The sequence below is a fragment of the Homo sapiens genome, chromosome 11 (assembly GCF_000001405.40).
Source record: "Homo sapiens chromosome 11, GRCh38.p14 Primary Assembly".
In the NCBI taxonomy this organism is placed as follows: Eukaryota; Metazoa; Chordata; class Mammalia; order Primates; family Hominidae; genus Homo; species Homo sapiens.
Window position 1 is genome coordinate 3,883,077 of NC_000011.10, and position 15,232 is coordinate 3,898,308.

Sequence of the window (15,232 nt, forward strand, 5' to 3'; positions counted from 1 at the left end):
TTAAAAACATTTTGGGGCAAACCTTTCTTGACTTAAAAATCACCCACTAGCCTTTAAATATACCTAGCTCTTTCATGTCTCAGCCTGTGCTCATGCTTTTCTCTTTGTCTAGAATATCCTTCTTTTCTCTGGTGGTTGAAATTATAATTGTTCCTCAAGACTCAGCTCAAATGTCACTTCCTCCGAGAAGCTCTCTTAATTGGTTTCTCCTCCTTCTTCCACTAGTTAGGTGCTCCCTTCTATGAACATCTCTATAATGGGACACCATTTTTTTTGTTTGTTTGTTTTTGTTTTTTGAGACAGAGTTTCACTCTTGTTGCCCAGGCTGGAGTGCAATGGCATGATCTTGGCTCACTGCAACCTCTGCCTTCCGTTCAAGCAGTTCTCCTGCCTCAGCCTCCCGAGTAGCTGGGATTACAGGCATGCGCCACCACGCCCAGCTAATTTTGTATTTTTAGTAGCGATGGGGTTTTACCATGTTGGTCAGGCTGGTCTCGAACTCCTGACCTCAGGTGATCCACCTGCCTCAGCCTCCCAAAGTGTTGGGATTACAGGCATGAGGCACCACACCCAGCCAATGGGACAATTTTTTATTGTCTGCTTCAAACCACTAAGTTATATTTTCTAGAGTCAGGGATTATATTTGATTCATTTCTGTCTTTAGCATTTAGCATATGACCTGACATTTAGTGGATGTTAATAAATGCTAAATGAAACTTGAGTATAGACTGAAGACTTACTTGATAGTAATGACACCAGACACCATCACTGTAGGAGGGATCAGTTGCGGGCTGTACTAGATGTATTCATATAATAAATATTTAAGACCCTACTGTGTGCCAGAAACTCTGCTTGGTATGCAGTAAAGAATAATAGTCCCTATTGTTTTATATTCAGGTAGGAAGATAGGCAATAAACAAGGAGATAAGTAATATAATGCTTGGTAATCATAAGTGCTAAAAAACAAAGTAAGCAGGGCAAAGGATTAGAGAGTGATGGGGGTGCTATTTTAGGTAGAGGGGTGGGGAAGGCCTCTCATTGGATGGCCCTTAAAATCACCTCACAAGGGTCTGGATCAGGAATCAGAAGTCTTGGGTTCTTCTTCTATCTCTGTGCTTTGTTACTTAGCAAAATTACTTAACATTTCAAGGTTGGAGTTTCTTTGTCTATAAAATGGGTACAAGAGTCCCTGCCCTGGTATTGTGGGAGTGTTGTAAGGATTCAGTGAGTTAATGGACATTGAAAGTGCTTTGTTGTATGGTGAACAGCATGATGTTTGGCTTTCCCTTTCCCAAGTTGAGAGGATGAGTGAGCAGTGTGGGAGCCAGCCAGATGTTTCCAGCACTTTGAAGACAAAAGGAACTGGTTTCTGCTGGGAGCTGTCATGCTAGCTTGCCTGGGACACTGACTTATGCAGTCCTGATCCAGGGGCTGAGAGTGAAACCCATGCCCCAAGTGGTTCTCCATGTACACTGGCAAAAGGGAATAGCCTTGGGAACTTGGGGCCTGTTCTGTTTAGCCCTCCAGGAGGTAGACTGTGGAGACCACTCTTTCTCTCAGTTCAGCCTTATTTCTTGCTATGTCTGAACCTAACCCAAGGGAGTAATAATTAGCAGTCCCCAAGAAGCTTGGGAGGTGGAGGTTGTGGTGAGCTGAGATTGCGCCACTGCACTCCACCATGGGTGACAGAGCCAGACCCCATCTCAAAAAAAAAAAAAGGGGTATGTTTGTATAATGGAATCTTATTTAGCCATTAAATGGAGTTAAGTGTTGATAGATGCCACAACATGGATAAACCTTGAAAACATTATGCTAAGTGAAAAGGCTACATATTGTATGATTCCATTTACATGAAATGTCCAGAATAGGCAAATCTATAGAGACAGAAAGTAGATTAGTGGTTGCCAGGGTGTGGGGGGAGAGGGTAATGAGAAGTTACTTCTAATGGATATGGGGTTTCTTTTTGGGGTAATGAAAATATTCTGAAAAATTAGATTGTGGTGATGATGGGACAACCTTATAGATATATTAAAAATCACTGAATTATAAAATCTAAGAGGATTAATTATATGTCATGTGAATTATATTTCAATATAAACATAGATAATTTTTTTTTTTTTGAGACAGTATCTCACTCTGTCATCTAGACTGGAGTGCAGTGGTGCAGTCATGGCTCACTGCAGCCTTGACCTCCCGGGCTCAACCAATCCTTCCACTTCAGCCTCCCAAGTAGCTGGGGCTATAGACGTGTGCTAGCCTGGCCAATTTTTGTATTATTATTATTATTTTTTGTAGAGACAGGGTTTTGCCATGTTGCCTAGGCTGGTCTTGAACCCCTGGGCTCAAGTGATCTGCCTGCCTTGGCCTCCCAAAGTTTGGGATTACAGGCATGACCCATAGTGCTCTGCCAAACATACATAATTTGAGTTTGCTGAGAACTATTGGTTTAACACAATTGTAGATAATTATAATTTTCTTTTCTGATTGGAAGTCTTCTCCCGGTACTTCAGCTCACAAAGGTGGACACATTCCAGTTTTATTTTATTTTATTTTATTTATTTTATCATTTTATTTTTGAGACAGGGACTCGCTCTGTTGTATAGGAGGCTGAAATATGGTGGCACAATCATGGCTCACTGTAGCCTTGACCTCCTTGGCTCAAGTGATTCTCTCACGTCAGCCTGCTGAGTAGCTGGGACTGCAGGCATGAGCAACCACACCTGGCTAATTTCTCTATTTTTTGTGTAGACAAAGTCTTACTGTGTTGCCCACGCTGGTGTCAAACTCCTGGGCTCAAGCAGTCCTCCCGCCTCAGCCTCTGTAAGTGTTGGGATTACAGGCGTGAGCCACTGTGCGTGGCCCCATTCCAGTTTTCGATGTGAGTTTGAGCATGATCGTAGGCAAGGGCCCATCAATGAAGGTGTTGAGGATATAGCATTGTCCTGCTTTGGCTCAAGGGGACTTTTCCTGCCTTTGATTAAGGATTGGCATGGGTGAGTCATTTCCCATAGTCTGAGGGATGTGGGATATAAAGAATGAATTGTTATCTCCGATGATATCTTGAATATCACACATTATAGGCCAAATATAGGTGCTAAACCATTTGGCTTGAATTCTTTATAGAAAATTCACTGGGAACCCAATGATAAAATAGAGAAAGACGGATAACCTAAGAGGGAGGAGCAATCTGGTGAGACATTCTTTTCACCTTTTCACACATGAGCAATTAAAAACTTGAGGGAAGTTGATTTTTTTTTTAACTCTGTAAATAGCTACTGGTATAATTCCTTGAGGCTGGTATTGTATTTTGTGCTATAAGAAGAGAGACTTGGCTGGGCGCGGTGGCTCACGCCTGTCATCCCAGCACTTTGGGAGGCCAAGGCAGGCAGATCACGAGGTCAGGAGATCGAGACCACCCTGGATAACATGGTGAAACCCTGTCTCTACTAAAAATACAAGAAATTAGCCGGGTGTGGTGGCAGGCACCTGTAGTCCCAGCTACTCGGGAGGCTGAGGCAGGAGAATGGCGTGAACCTGGGAAGTGGAGCTTGCAGTGAGCAGACATCACGCCACCTCACTCCAGCCTGGGTGACAGAGCGAGACTCTGTGTCAAAAAAAAAAAAAAAAAAAAAAAAGGTCTTATTTGGCCGGGTGCGGTGGCTCATGCCTGTAATTCCAGCACTTTGGGAGGCCGAGGCGGGCGGATTACGAGGTCAGGAGATCGAGATCATCCTGGATAACATGGTGAAACCCCGTCTTTACTAAAATACAAAAAATTAGCCAGGTGTGGTGGCGGGTGCCTGTAATCCTAGCTACTCAGGAGGCTGAGGCAGTAGAATCACTTTTCACTCAGGAGGCGGAGGTTGCAGTGAGCCGAGATCGCACCACTGCACTCCAGCCTGGCGACAGAGCAAGACTCTGTCTCAAAGAAAAAAAAAAAGAAGAGAGACGGGCCATATACTCAAGGAGTTTCCAAATATATCCAGAGGTGAAACAAACATCTAGGATGAAAAGGGTCCAGGGACTAGTATTGTACACAGTCAGAGGAGGTAGAGGGCTGTGAGTTTGGTAATAAGAGAGGAGGCTTGGGAAACCCAGCCTGAGTCTAGGTCCAGAGGGCAGCATGCACTGGGTGAGGGCCTCTAGGGAGAGTAAAGCAGGATACATTCTTGTCCTTATACTTCCTTCCCTGTTTCTGTACCTGCTCACTTTTGCCCTGCAACAAATAAACCTTTAAGCATCTGTTCTCAGCCTGGCCTTGCACTGGGCAAAACTGGAAACATGGGCATTATGAAACCTGGGCCATACATCTAGAAGTGCTTAATATATTGTGAGAGGTGAACCTGGAAACAATGGACTGTAATGGCATGGGTCAAGGTATGTAATAGACAGAGATGGATTTGATATATCAGAGTGCCGACCTACTGACTCTGTCTTGGGATTAGGTAAACCTACCTTTAAAAAGGCATTGAGACAGGGCCTGGTTAGAGAAACCTGTTAAGGTTATTGCCAGAAGATGAAGCGGAGGTACAGAATGCTACTTTTGGGGTATGGCTGCTTTAGGGCCTTTCATTTCGTTTTCAGATTTGATGAAAGAATAGGGCATCTGTGGCCAGGCGCAATGGCTCACACCAGTAATCCTAGCACTTTGGGAGGCCGAGACGGGCGGATCACGAGGTCAGGAGATTGAGACCATCCTGGCTAACATGGTGAAACCCTGCCTCTACTAAAAATACAAAAAATTAGCCGGACGTGGTGGCATGCACCTGTAGTCCCAGCTACTTGAGAGGCTGAGGCAGGAGAATCGCTTCAACCCGGGAGGCACGGAGGTTGCAATGAGTGGAGATCGCACCACTGCACTCCAGCCTGGGTGACAGAGTGAGACTCTGTCTCAAAAAAAAAAAAAAAAAATAGGACATCTGTGTCCAGGAATCTTTTTATCTCCCCACCACCCCTCAAGCAGTGCTGGGCTGACTGCAGAAGGCTCTTCCCTGTTCTGCACTTGTTCCATTTCTGTTTTTGAAAGATGAAGCCTGGGAGGTGCCAGAGCTATGCCAGCTGCTATGGGGCCAGAAACAGGTGAGGCTTTTAGGTCTGCTTGAGTTAAGGAGTGAGGGGTTTGTCCTCTTCAGCTAGCTTAAGGTCTCTGCTATGAAACTAGATAAGTATTCACATAGCTTGTTTTTCATTTGGGGCTATTTTCAGCCTTGGAGGCCAGCAAGGTGAATGATTGAGATGCTTTTATGGGGTTCAAGCTTTTGCTAGATCCTATTTGCCAGGATAGGTGCTCAGCCATTTTCCAGGACATCAGCTTTTCTGAACAAGCAGCACTGAAAGGAAGAAGCACTTCCCTTTTCTTTCAGGGGGCAGTATAGGAAATGTGAGGGTGGGTGGTCAGTTTAATATTATAACCCAGGTTTTAAGTAGAGAGGCTGTATAGTTTGGAACATTGCCATATAGTCTTTTTTTTTGAATTTTTGAGACAGAGTCTCCCTCTGTTGCCCAGGCTAGTGTGCAGTGGTGTGCTTTCTGCTCACTGCAGCCTCCACCTCCCAGATTCAAGGGATTTTCCTGCCTAAGCCTGGAGATTACAGGTGCACACCACCTGGGATTACAGGTGTGCACCACCATACCCAGCTGACTTTTTGTATTTTTAGTAGAGACGGGGTTTCACCATGTTGGCCAGGCTGGTCTTGAACTCCTGACCTCAAGTGATCCGCCCGTGTCGGCTTCCCAAAGTGCTGGGATTACAGGTGTTAGCCACCATGCCCGGCCGCCGTGTAGTCTTTAATGCAGTTTTGAGGGACTCATCTGAATTGTTCTTGTGTTTTTCTTGTCATCTTGACTGCCAGGCTTTACTATGGGGGTGGAGCTCTGTAAATGTATAGATCTGCTGCTGTCCAGAGACTTGATCTCTTTTGTGCTTGCACACCTCTAGGGCTAACAAAGCAGATGGAGTGGCCTGTACAAAGAGGTGATGCATCAGTGGTCTGTATCCAGGAGTGTTCTTGGGAGTTCCCTGTTTAGTGAGTGCTTACTATGTGCCAGGCAGCTGTGGCAACAGCAGTCATCATACTAGATGCTGAGGTTTTATCAGAGATACCTAAGGCAAGATCATTATCTTATCCCTGAGGCCCAACAAATAAATATTTGTTGTTTAATAAATGTTGATCCAAGGAATAAACTATATTTTAAAGGAACCCAGACACAGGGGGTGTGAGAAGGAAGCTAGCAGTCATTGAATGCCTACTATGTGCCAAGTACTGTGTTAAGTGCTTTCACAGATATTTAATTTTTTTTTTTTTTTTTGAGATAGAGTCTCGCTTTGTCGCCCAGGCTGGAGAGCAATGGCACGATTTTGGCTCACTGCAACCTTCACCTCCTGGGTCCAAGCGATTCTCTTACCTCAGCCTCCAGAGTAGCTGGGATTACAGGCACACGCCACCGCATCTGGCTAATTTTTTTATTTTTATTTTTTAGTAGAGATGGAGTTTCACCGTGGATACTTAATTTTTAATACGGTCTTCTGAGATTGTTAATGTTATTGATATCTTTGAGATGGACAAAATAAGAGGTTAAATTACTTGTTAAAGTCACTTTCTATTAGCCGTATCTAGGCGCTTTTTTGAGGGTCTGGCCTCTAGGTTTGGTAGATGCCTAACAGGGTAACCTTGTTTTTAGTATTGTTGGGTGAGTGGGGCTAGTCTGAGTCTTTTCAAAGTTGCAGGAGATGCAGTTTTCTAGGCTTGGTGCTGAAAATATAGATAAGGATAATATAAGGTACATAAACTGGAAGAATTACTATTGAGTGGGGAGACAGGTAAATAGGCATTACAGGGTAGTAAATATTAAGCAAAGACGGGCCTTTTTACTTTGTGAGAGGTACATTGGGCAGGGACTTTTACTCTGAGACTTCAACTCTTGTCCTTCTTTCCATACCTGTAGCTCCTCATTGGGATCTCCCTTATTCCCTGACCATGTGTTTCGACAGTTTCATGAGTGTTACTTTTTCATCAAGATTGCTTACTCCTTGAGACTAGATATTCTTTTTTTCTTTCTTACTGCCTCTTAGATATCTGACCTAGGCCATCACGCTTACCCTCTCTGGACCTTAGTGGCATTATCTGTAAAACAAGCCTAATGATAGGTGTTTTGCAATCTGAGAGCAGGGGCCAGTCCAAGTGGTGATCTCTGGAGGTTCATCTAGTTTTTCCAAATCTGTGATTTCTGTGATCATCCTCTTTTGGTCCTTATATAGAGCTGGATATCCAAGAGGCTTTAAGTTTGTCACAGAGATTGCTGAAGGTAATTTATGGTACCTCAGAAGTCTTAAGAACTTTTCTGTATCACCCCTGTTAGAGCTACATACCCAGTAGCACTGACAGAGACTCATGGCTTCTCCTGGCCAGTCCCTTGGACTGAACCAGTTTTCTCAGCCTGGTATGGAAGATTTGACTGAAGTTTTAAGCTCAAAAGGATATTGTGGCCGGGCATGGTGGCACACGCCTGTAATCCCAGCTACTCAGGAGGCTGAGGCAGGAGAATCGCTTGAACCTGGGAGGTGGAGGTTGCAGTGAGCCGAGATCACGCCACTGCACTCCAGCCTGGGTGATGGAGCAAGACTCTATTGCAAAAAAAAAGAAAAGCATATTGTATTTAAGTGTATTTTCTAGTATGGCTTATCTCATTATCAGCTAGGTCAACTAGAGGTAGTGCTTTCCTGATTTTGCTTCTAGAAGGCATTCTTTGAGCAGTGGGATAGGACCCCATCCTTAGGACTTTCACCTCTCCAGGTATTGGGCCAGAAGTCTAAAGCTCCATGAAATACTGTTTATGTACAATACCAGCTTGAGCTCTAAACTTGTAAAAGAATCAACTTTGATATGACTTAGGGTCCCATGGGACCTACCAGGAAGTCACAGGAACTCTGAGCCACAGCGAAGTCCACCACTAATTAGACAGTTAATAATAATGCTAATTGTTATGATAAGAAATGTATGTTGAATACTTATATGTCAGGTACAATTACATATTTATTTAATTCTCACAGCAGTCAATGACATAGATATTGTTATTATTCTCATTTTGTAGATGAAGAATCTAAAGTCATGTGTCTAGTAATTGGTGCAAGTAGGACTTAAACCTAATTAGAAATTTCATGTTCTAATTCCAAACTCTATTTTTTTTATTGTTTTAAATAAAAAAAATTTTATTTTTCATGTTTTTTTTTTGAGACAGAGTCTCGCTGTGTTGCCCAGGCTGGAGTGCAGTGGCACGATCTCGGCTCACTGCAACCTCTGCCTCCTGGGTTCAAGTGATTCTCCTGCCTCAGCCTCCTCAGTAACTGGGACTACTACAGGCACATGCCACCATATCCGGCTAATTTTTAGTGGAGACAGGGTTTCAACATGTTGGCCAGGCTGGTCTCAAACTCCTGACTTCAGGCGATCTTCTCACCTCAGCCACCCAAAGTGCTAGGATTACAGGTGTGAGCCACTGTGCAGGCTCACTATTGTATTTTAATTATTTACTTTGATATCCTCCTACCAGATTTTAAATTGCCAGAAGGCAGGGGCTGTTACTCTTCATTTCATTAAAAAAAGAAGTATTGAGTTATGGCTTACATACAATAAAATGAATTAAATGCTTGATGAATTTTTACCAATGTGTTTATCTATGTAACCACCACCTAGATCAAGATACATTTCTGCATCTTTCTAGAGTGTAGCATAGAGATGAGCAAACATTTTCTGTGGAGGGCCAGAGAGTGAATATTTTAGGCTTGATGGGCTATACCGCAAGTTGTAGCAGGAAAACAGCCATAGATAATATTTAAATGGACATGTGTAGCTGTGTCTAAGAAAACTTTGTTTACAAAAACAAGGTGTTTGGGCTAGATTTGGCCTGAGGGCCTCAGTTTGCTGATCCCTTGTCTAGCAGAGTGTCTAAGGACAAAATAGAAATTTGGTAAATGTTTGTTGAATTGTAGACAAAGACCTTGATTTCAGAAATCTCTTCTTGATTTTCTAGCAGTGGGGCAGCTTGTATCTCCATGGTAGGGCTGTACTTTGTTTTTATTTATTTTTTATGTTTTATTTATTTATTTTTGTTATTTAGTGTTTATTTCATAATCATAAACTTAACTCTGCAATCCAGCTAGTCATGGAAGAAAACAGAGAAAACATGGAGCCCAAAGGGAACTGCAGCAAGAGCACAAAGATTCAAGGATACTGCGAGCAAATGGGGTGGAGGGGTGCTCTCCTGACCTACAGAAGGAATGGTCTGGTGGCTAAGATAAAACACAAGTCAAACTTATTAAGAGTTGTCCACAGTCAGCAGTGGTGATCTTCTTGCTGGTCTTGCCATTCCTGGACCCAAAGTGCTCTATGGCCTCCACAATATTCATGCCTTCTTTCGCCTTGCCAAAGACCACATGCTTGCCATCCAACCACTCAGTCTTGGCAGTGCAGATGAAAAACTGGGAACTGTTTGTGTTGGGTCCAGCATTTGCCATGGACAAGATGCCAGGACCTGTATGCTTTAGGATGAAGTTCTCATCATCAAATTTCTCCCCGTAGATGGACTTGCTGCTAGTGCCATTATGGTGTGTGAAGTCACCACCCTGACACATAAACCCTGGAATAATTCTGTGAAAGCAGGAACCCTTATAACCAAATCCTTTCTCTCCAGTGCTCAGAGCACGAAAGTTTTCTGCTGTCTTTGGAACCTTGTCTGCAAATAGCTTGAAGGAGACATGGCCCAAGGGCTCGCTGTTGACAGCAATGTCGAAGAACACGGTGGGGTTAACCACGGCTGATAGTACGGGGCTCCCGGCAGCAGCAGCATCTGCAAAGACTTTTATGTTTTATTTTTAATAGAGATGGGGTTTTGCCATGTTGCCCAGGCTGGTCTTGAACTCCTGAGCTCAAGCAATCCACCCACTTCGTCCTCCCAAAATGCTAGGGCTATAATGTTGAGAGGTTCTTTGTGGAACAGGCTGCCTTTTGATAAGTTGTTTGTGTTCATAAGGGAATAAAAATGTCATCCCTTCCAGTACTCTCCCAATTTTGTTGGTGCAAGGTCTTCAGAATATTTGGGATCCATGAAAACAATATAGAGGGATGTTTGTATGAATCCCCTAAGGCTATTATGTGTTATTTATTTTGTCCTTGGTGCCTAGCCAGCATAGATGGACAGGGATGCTCAGTAAATATTTGTTTTTGAATGAATAAATGAATTTAAATTGCTTTCAGTATTTTAACAAGCCTAATGGAAATTGTACATTTACCTACAATAAAAGTGTCTTTGATTTTGGTTTCAATTATACAAGTTTTGTGTGAACACTAGTTTGCTCATGCCGATTAGTTCTTTGACTGGCAGTTGATGGCATCATAGGACATAAACCTACCCAGTGAGTGAATGACCTTGGACACAAGTACACAGCCAAAATAACCAACTGGTAGCAGAGCCTGGTGCATGAATATCTACATGTTTACTTCCACTTTCTTGCTCATTAGCAATATTATTTGTATATGGTTGATAATTGTATATGGTTGGTTAAAATCTGGGTCAACATTTTTTTTTTTTTTTGAGACAGAGTCTCGCTCTGTAGCCCAGTCACCCAGGCTGGAGTGCAGTGGCGCAATCGCAGCTCACTGCAACCTCTGCCTCCCGGGTTCAAGTGATTCTCCTGCCTCAGCCTCCCAAGTAGCTGGGATTACAGGCATGTGCCACCATGCCTGGCTAATATTTTTATTTTTTGTAGAGATGGGGTCAATATCAATATCCAAATAAGGTCTACATCATGTTGATTGATCTAAACCTTCAGTCTCTTCTGGGACTACAGGCACGTACCACCATGCCTAGCTAACTTTTGTATTTTTTGTAGAGATGGGGTTTTGCCATGTTGCCTAGGATGGTCTTGAACTCCGGAGCTCAAGCGATCTGCCCACCTCCCGAAATGTTGGGACTAGAGGTGTGAGCCACCACGCCAGGCCAATTTGAACTATATTTGAAAAAGAGGGTTCCATTGTTTAAAAATAAGTCTTGGAAACTATAGTATTGTAGCTGTTCTCTAACAGCACCAATTATGACAGGAACCAGGAACTATGAAGTGGGGACAGTGACTGTGACTAACTTGTAATATGTTTTAAACTTTTTTTTACTTCCTCATATTTGTTGTTTTTGGCTTACATTCTTTCTCAACCCAACAGTTAAACTCTTACAACAAAAAGGGCCCCGTATGTTTTCACTTTTGAAGGGAGAGATTGGTGGACTGTCTTACCCTAGAGCCAGGCTTCAGGCTTGGGGGCGGGAGTCCCAAGGGGTGGAGTGGGGGGTTCTGCTTTGATGAGCAAAGGAAGTGGTTAAGTCCCTGGGGCCTGTGCAGCCTGAACAAGAGCCCAAAAGTGACCTTGGGAGCATCTAAGACTAGACGCTCTTAGCAGAGCATGGGTCCCTTTTCCTTACCCCTTATTCCATAGCCTACAGGTTCTCTTTCAGTTGTCCAAAGGGCCTGGCTGGTCAGGCTTTAGTTGAGTCACATCCGACATGTTCCAGACCCAGGGTCCTGGTAGCTGTGTTTAGGGCTGATTCCTAGGAATCATGAGCTGATAACCTCAGGACAAAGAATGAAGGGTATCTTGTTTTTAACCGTGTTCTTTTTTCTTTTCTTTTTTTTGAGACAGGGTCTCGATTTGTTGCCCAGGCTGGAGTACAGTGGCACAGTCTCAGCTCACTGCAACCTCCGCCTTCCGGGTTCAAGCAATTCTCCTGCCTCAGCCTCCCAAGTATCTGGCATTACAGGCATGTGCCACCACGCCTGGCTAATTTTTTTTTTTTTTTTTTTTTTTAGTAGAGACAGGGTTTTGCCATGTTGGCCAGGCTGGTCTCAAACTCCTGACCTCAGGTGATCCACCCGCTTCGGCCTCCCAAAGTGCTGGGATTACAGGCGTGAGCCACCGCGCCCGGCCGACCCTGTTCTAAGGAAGGCCAAGGGCAGGAACCTCTTAGCAATAGCTTTGGCTGATCCTTGGCCAGCAATACATTTGTCACTCTGGCCAAGAGAAGAGCTGCTGTGGAGCACTTGGTGTTCTCTAGCCTTTGTGGAGGTCACAGGCAAACAGGGCAGGGGAGCAAGGCCTTAATTACTTAGGGACTCCTGGAGCAAAGCCACTTGGCAGTGTCTCAGCTTCTTGGTGGGACTGGCTCCTTCTCCTAGTGACAGTGCAAATACTCCTTCCCTTTATAGCTTTTAAACCTCCAAGAGATTGGTCTTCTTCCTTGAGCTTCAAGACATTTCTATGCAGTGTGGTTCAGGGCTGATTTTAAAAGCCGGATAGGTGGAATGACAAAAATTCCTTCCATCTGTGTAGCACTTTTTGGTCACTTACCCACATTTTATTTAGTTTCAAACCAACGGTCCTGTGAGTTGTAAATGAAGAGATTAAAGCCCAGAAAGGAGATGCACTTAACCAAGTTTATATAGCTAATTCGGCTCTGGGTTCCGGGAATAGTGTTCTTTCTTTCTCTCTCTTTCTTTCTTTCTTTCTTTCTTTCTTTCTTTCTTTCTTTCTTTCTTTCTTTCTTTCTTTCTTTCCTTCCTTCCTTCTTTCTTTCTTTCTTTCTTTCTTTCTTTCTTTCTTTCTTTCTTTCTTTCTTTTTCTTTCTTCCTTCCTTCCTTCCTTCCTTCCTTCCTTCCTTCCTTCCTTCCTTCCTTCCTTCCTTCCTTTCTTTCCTTCCTTCTTTCTTTTCTTTCTTTCTTTCTCTTTCTTTCTTTCTCTCTCTCTCTCTTTCTTTTCTTTTCTTTCTTTTCTTTCTTTCTTTCTTTCTTCTTTCTTTTTTTTTGAGATGGAGTCTTGCTCTGTTGCCCAGGCTGGAGTGTAGTGGCGCGATCTCGGCTCACTGCAAGCTCCGCCTCCCGGGTTCACGCCATTCTCCTGCCTCAGCCTCCCGAGTACCTGGGACTACAGGCGCCCACCACCACACCCGGCTAATTTTTTGTATTTTTAGTAGAGACGGGGTTTCACCATGTTAGCCAGGACGGTCTTGATCTCCTGATCTCGTGATCCGCCCACCTCGGCCTTCCAAAGTGCTGGGATTACAGGCGTGAGCCACTGCACCTGGCCGGAATAGTGCTCTCTCTCTACCATTATATGTGGGACAAGGGGAAAGGAGAATGGTAAATACAGTTATTTTATGTACTAGGCAATGGGTAAGGTGCTTAGTTTAGTTTTCTCACATTTTGTGGTAATTTATTTTTTAATCTCTATTTTAATGTTAGGGAAGCTGAGCTTCAGAGTAGTTGACTTACTCACGATCATAGAGCTAAGTGGCTGAGCCTGGATTCAGATCTAAGTCTATTTGACTTCAGAACCCATGTCTTTTCATCATTATACTATATTCCTCGATAGTTGTTTATTCTGAAACATCTTGATTGAGCTGCCGATGCAACACTAGGTAGTGTCACAAGGGATGCAAGGAAGCATAAGATTTAGTAATTTCTTCCCTCATGGAATACGTAATTTGGTGATACTGCTATGGCAGAGACAATGGTGCATAGGGATAGATAGAGACATGGGGCAGTGGGAGTTTAGGGAGCCCCCCAAATAATTGGTGGTGGGGGAAATTGTCAGAGAAGGCTTTCCAGAAAAGTTGGTACCTTAGCTTCTCTAGCGATAAAGAGCATGGGTCCTTGGGGTCAGCTTGCCTGGGTCTCATCACTATAGTACTATATGCTAGCTATAGTGCTTTGGGGAAGTTACTTAATGTCTCTGAGCCTGCTTCCTCATCTATAACATGGAAATTATTATAAAATCAATCTCATAGAGCTGTGCGAAGATTAAGATGAGATAATCTATGTTGAATAATTAGCAGCCAGCTTGACACATAATAAGCTCTCATTAAGTGTTAACCATTATAATTATCACTGTCTAATCTGTTTTTCTCCCATATCCTGCTCAAGTGGGGACAAATGTAGGCTCTCTTAGGGCCTGTTATTGTCAATAAAGTAGAGGTTTTGTCTAGAGTGATTTCAAAATATTTCTTTCAGGCCCAAGATTCTGTCAAAGTAAAAACTACTAAGTTAATTGTTTCCAGGAGGGCAGCTGTCAAGTTACTTTGTATCTTGTGGCAACCAAATCTGGCTTGAGTTCCATAAAGCCAGCTCTGGTGAGTTGCTGGAAATGCTACCTGATAAAGGCTCTTCTTTCCTCTGCTGCCTCTTCATTGGATTGACTGAAAGCTGGCCTCTTGGAATACTGGTCTATTTCTCTTCTCTTCCTCCAAGCTTATTGCGATGGAGAAGATGATGTAATTTTAGTAGTCCAGGTATTCTCTACTACTTTTGGGTCCTGTCTATTCTGGGTAACTGTGGAATAGCAGTACCTTTATATATTTGTACAGTGCTTTTTGTTTGTTTGTTTGTTTTTATTTTTTTATTTTATTATTATTATACTTTAAGTTTTAGGGTACATGTGTACAATGTGCAGGTTAGTTACATATGTATACCTGTGCCATGCTGGTGTGCTGCACCCATTAACTCGTCATTTAGCATTAGGTATATCTCCTAAAGCTATCCCTCCCCCCGCCACGCCCACCCCACAACAGTCCCCAGAGTGTGATGTTCCCCTTCCTGTGTCCATGTGTTCTCATTGTTCAATTCCCACCTATGAGTGAGAATATGTGGTGTTTGGTTTTTTGTTCTTGCGATAGTTTACTGAGAATGATGATTTCCAATTTCATCCATGTCCCTACAAAGGACACGAACTCATCATTTTTTATGGCTGCATAGTATTCCATGGTGTATATGTGCCACATTTTCTTAGTCCAGTCTACCATTGTTGGACATTTGGGTTGGTTCCAAGTCTTTGCTGTTGTGAATAATGCCGCAATAAACATACGTGTGCATGTGTCTTTATAGCAGCATGATTTATAGTCCTTTGGGTTATACCCAGTAATGGGATGGCTGGGTCAAATGGTATTTCTAGTTCTAGATCCTTGAGGAATCGCCACACTGACTTCCACAATGGTTGAACTAGTTTATAGTCCCACCAACAGTGTAAGAGTGTTCCTATTTCTCCACATCCTCTCCAGCACCTGTTGTTTCCTGACTTTTTAATGATTGCCATTCTAACTGGTGTGAGATGGTATCTCATTGTGGTTTTGATTTGCATTTCTCTGATGGCCAGTGATGGTGAGCATTTTTTCATGTGTCTTTTGGCTGCATAAATGT

At 43.3% G+C, this 15,232-nt stretch overlaps 2 protein-coding genes across 23 annotated transcripts in view, besides 3 other annotated features; one reads left to right on the plus strand and one right to left on the minus strand.

Moving 5' to 3' along the window:
• The window catches only part of STIM1 (stromal interaction molecule 1), a 238,607-nt gene that overhangs the window by 28,473 nt on the left and 194,902 nt on the right, over positions 1-15,232 (plus strand). The gene's annotated exons all lie outside the window — the stretch shown is intronic.
• On the minus strand, positions 9,290-10,478 carry PPIAP40 (peptidylprolyl isomerase A pseudogene 40). The gene is made up of 2 exons (XM_047428002.1): positions 10,409-10,478; positions 9,290-9,846 (listed from the first exon to the last, which is right to left on the minus strand). The coding sequence occupies exons 1-2, from the start codon at positions 10,476-10,478 to the stop codon at positions 9,290-9,292; spliced, it is 627 nt and encodes a 208-aa protein (XP_047283958.1).
• Positions 10,500-10,659: an enhancer, noted in NCBI's record as "active region_4317". NCBI's record gives its function as "activates an Ori minimal core promoter by ATAC-STARR-seq in GM12878 lymphoblastoid cells {active_cell/tissue: GM12878}" and the evidence as "EXISTENCE:reporter gene assay evidence [ECO:0000049][PMID:35858748]".
• Positions 10,906-11,122: a silencer, noted in NCBI's record as "fragment chr11:3915212-3915428 (GRCh37/hg19 assembly coordinates)". NCBI's record gives its function as "represses an EF-1alpha promoter that drives an FKBP-Casp9 reporter gene in an ReSE screen in HepG2 liver carcinoma cells {active_cell/tissue: HepG2}" and the evidence as "EXISTENCE:reporter gene assay evidence [ECO:0000049][PMID:32094911]".
• Positions 11,500-11,739: an enhancer, noted in NCBI's record as "active region_4318". NCBI's record gives its function as "activates an Ori minimal core promoter by ATAC-STARR-seq in GM12878 lymphoblastoid cells {active_cell/tissue: GM12878}" and the evidence as "EXISTENCE:reporter gene assay evidence [ECO:0000049][PMID:35858748]".

Excerpts from the sequence above, each read along its gene's own strand:
- PPIAP40 (XM_047428002.1), bottom strand. The coding sequence starts at position 10,478 with ATGCACCAGGCTCTGCTACCAGTTGGTTATTTTGGCTGTGTACTTGTG. Across the intron at positions 9,847-10,408 it reads CAAGGTCATTCACTCACTGG|ATGCTGCTGCTGCCGGGAGC; the intron begins GTAGGTTTATGT and ends AAGTCTTTGCAG.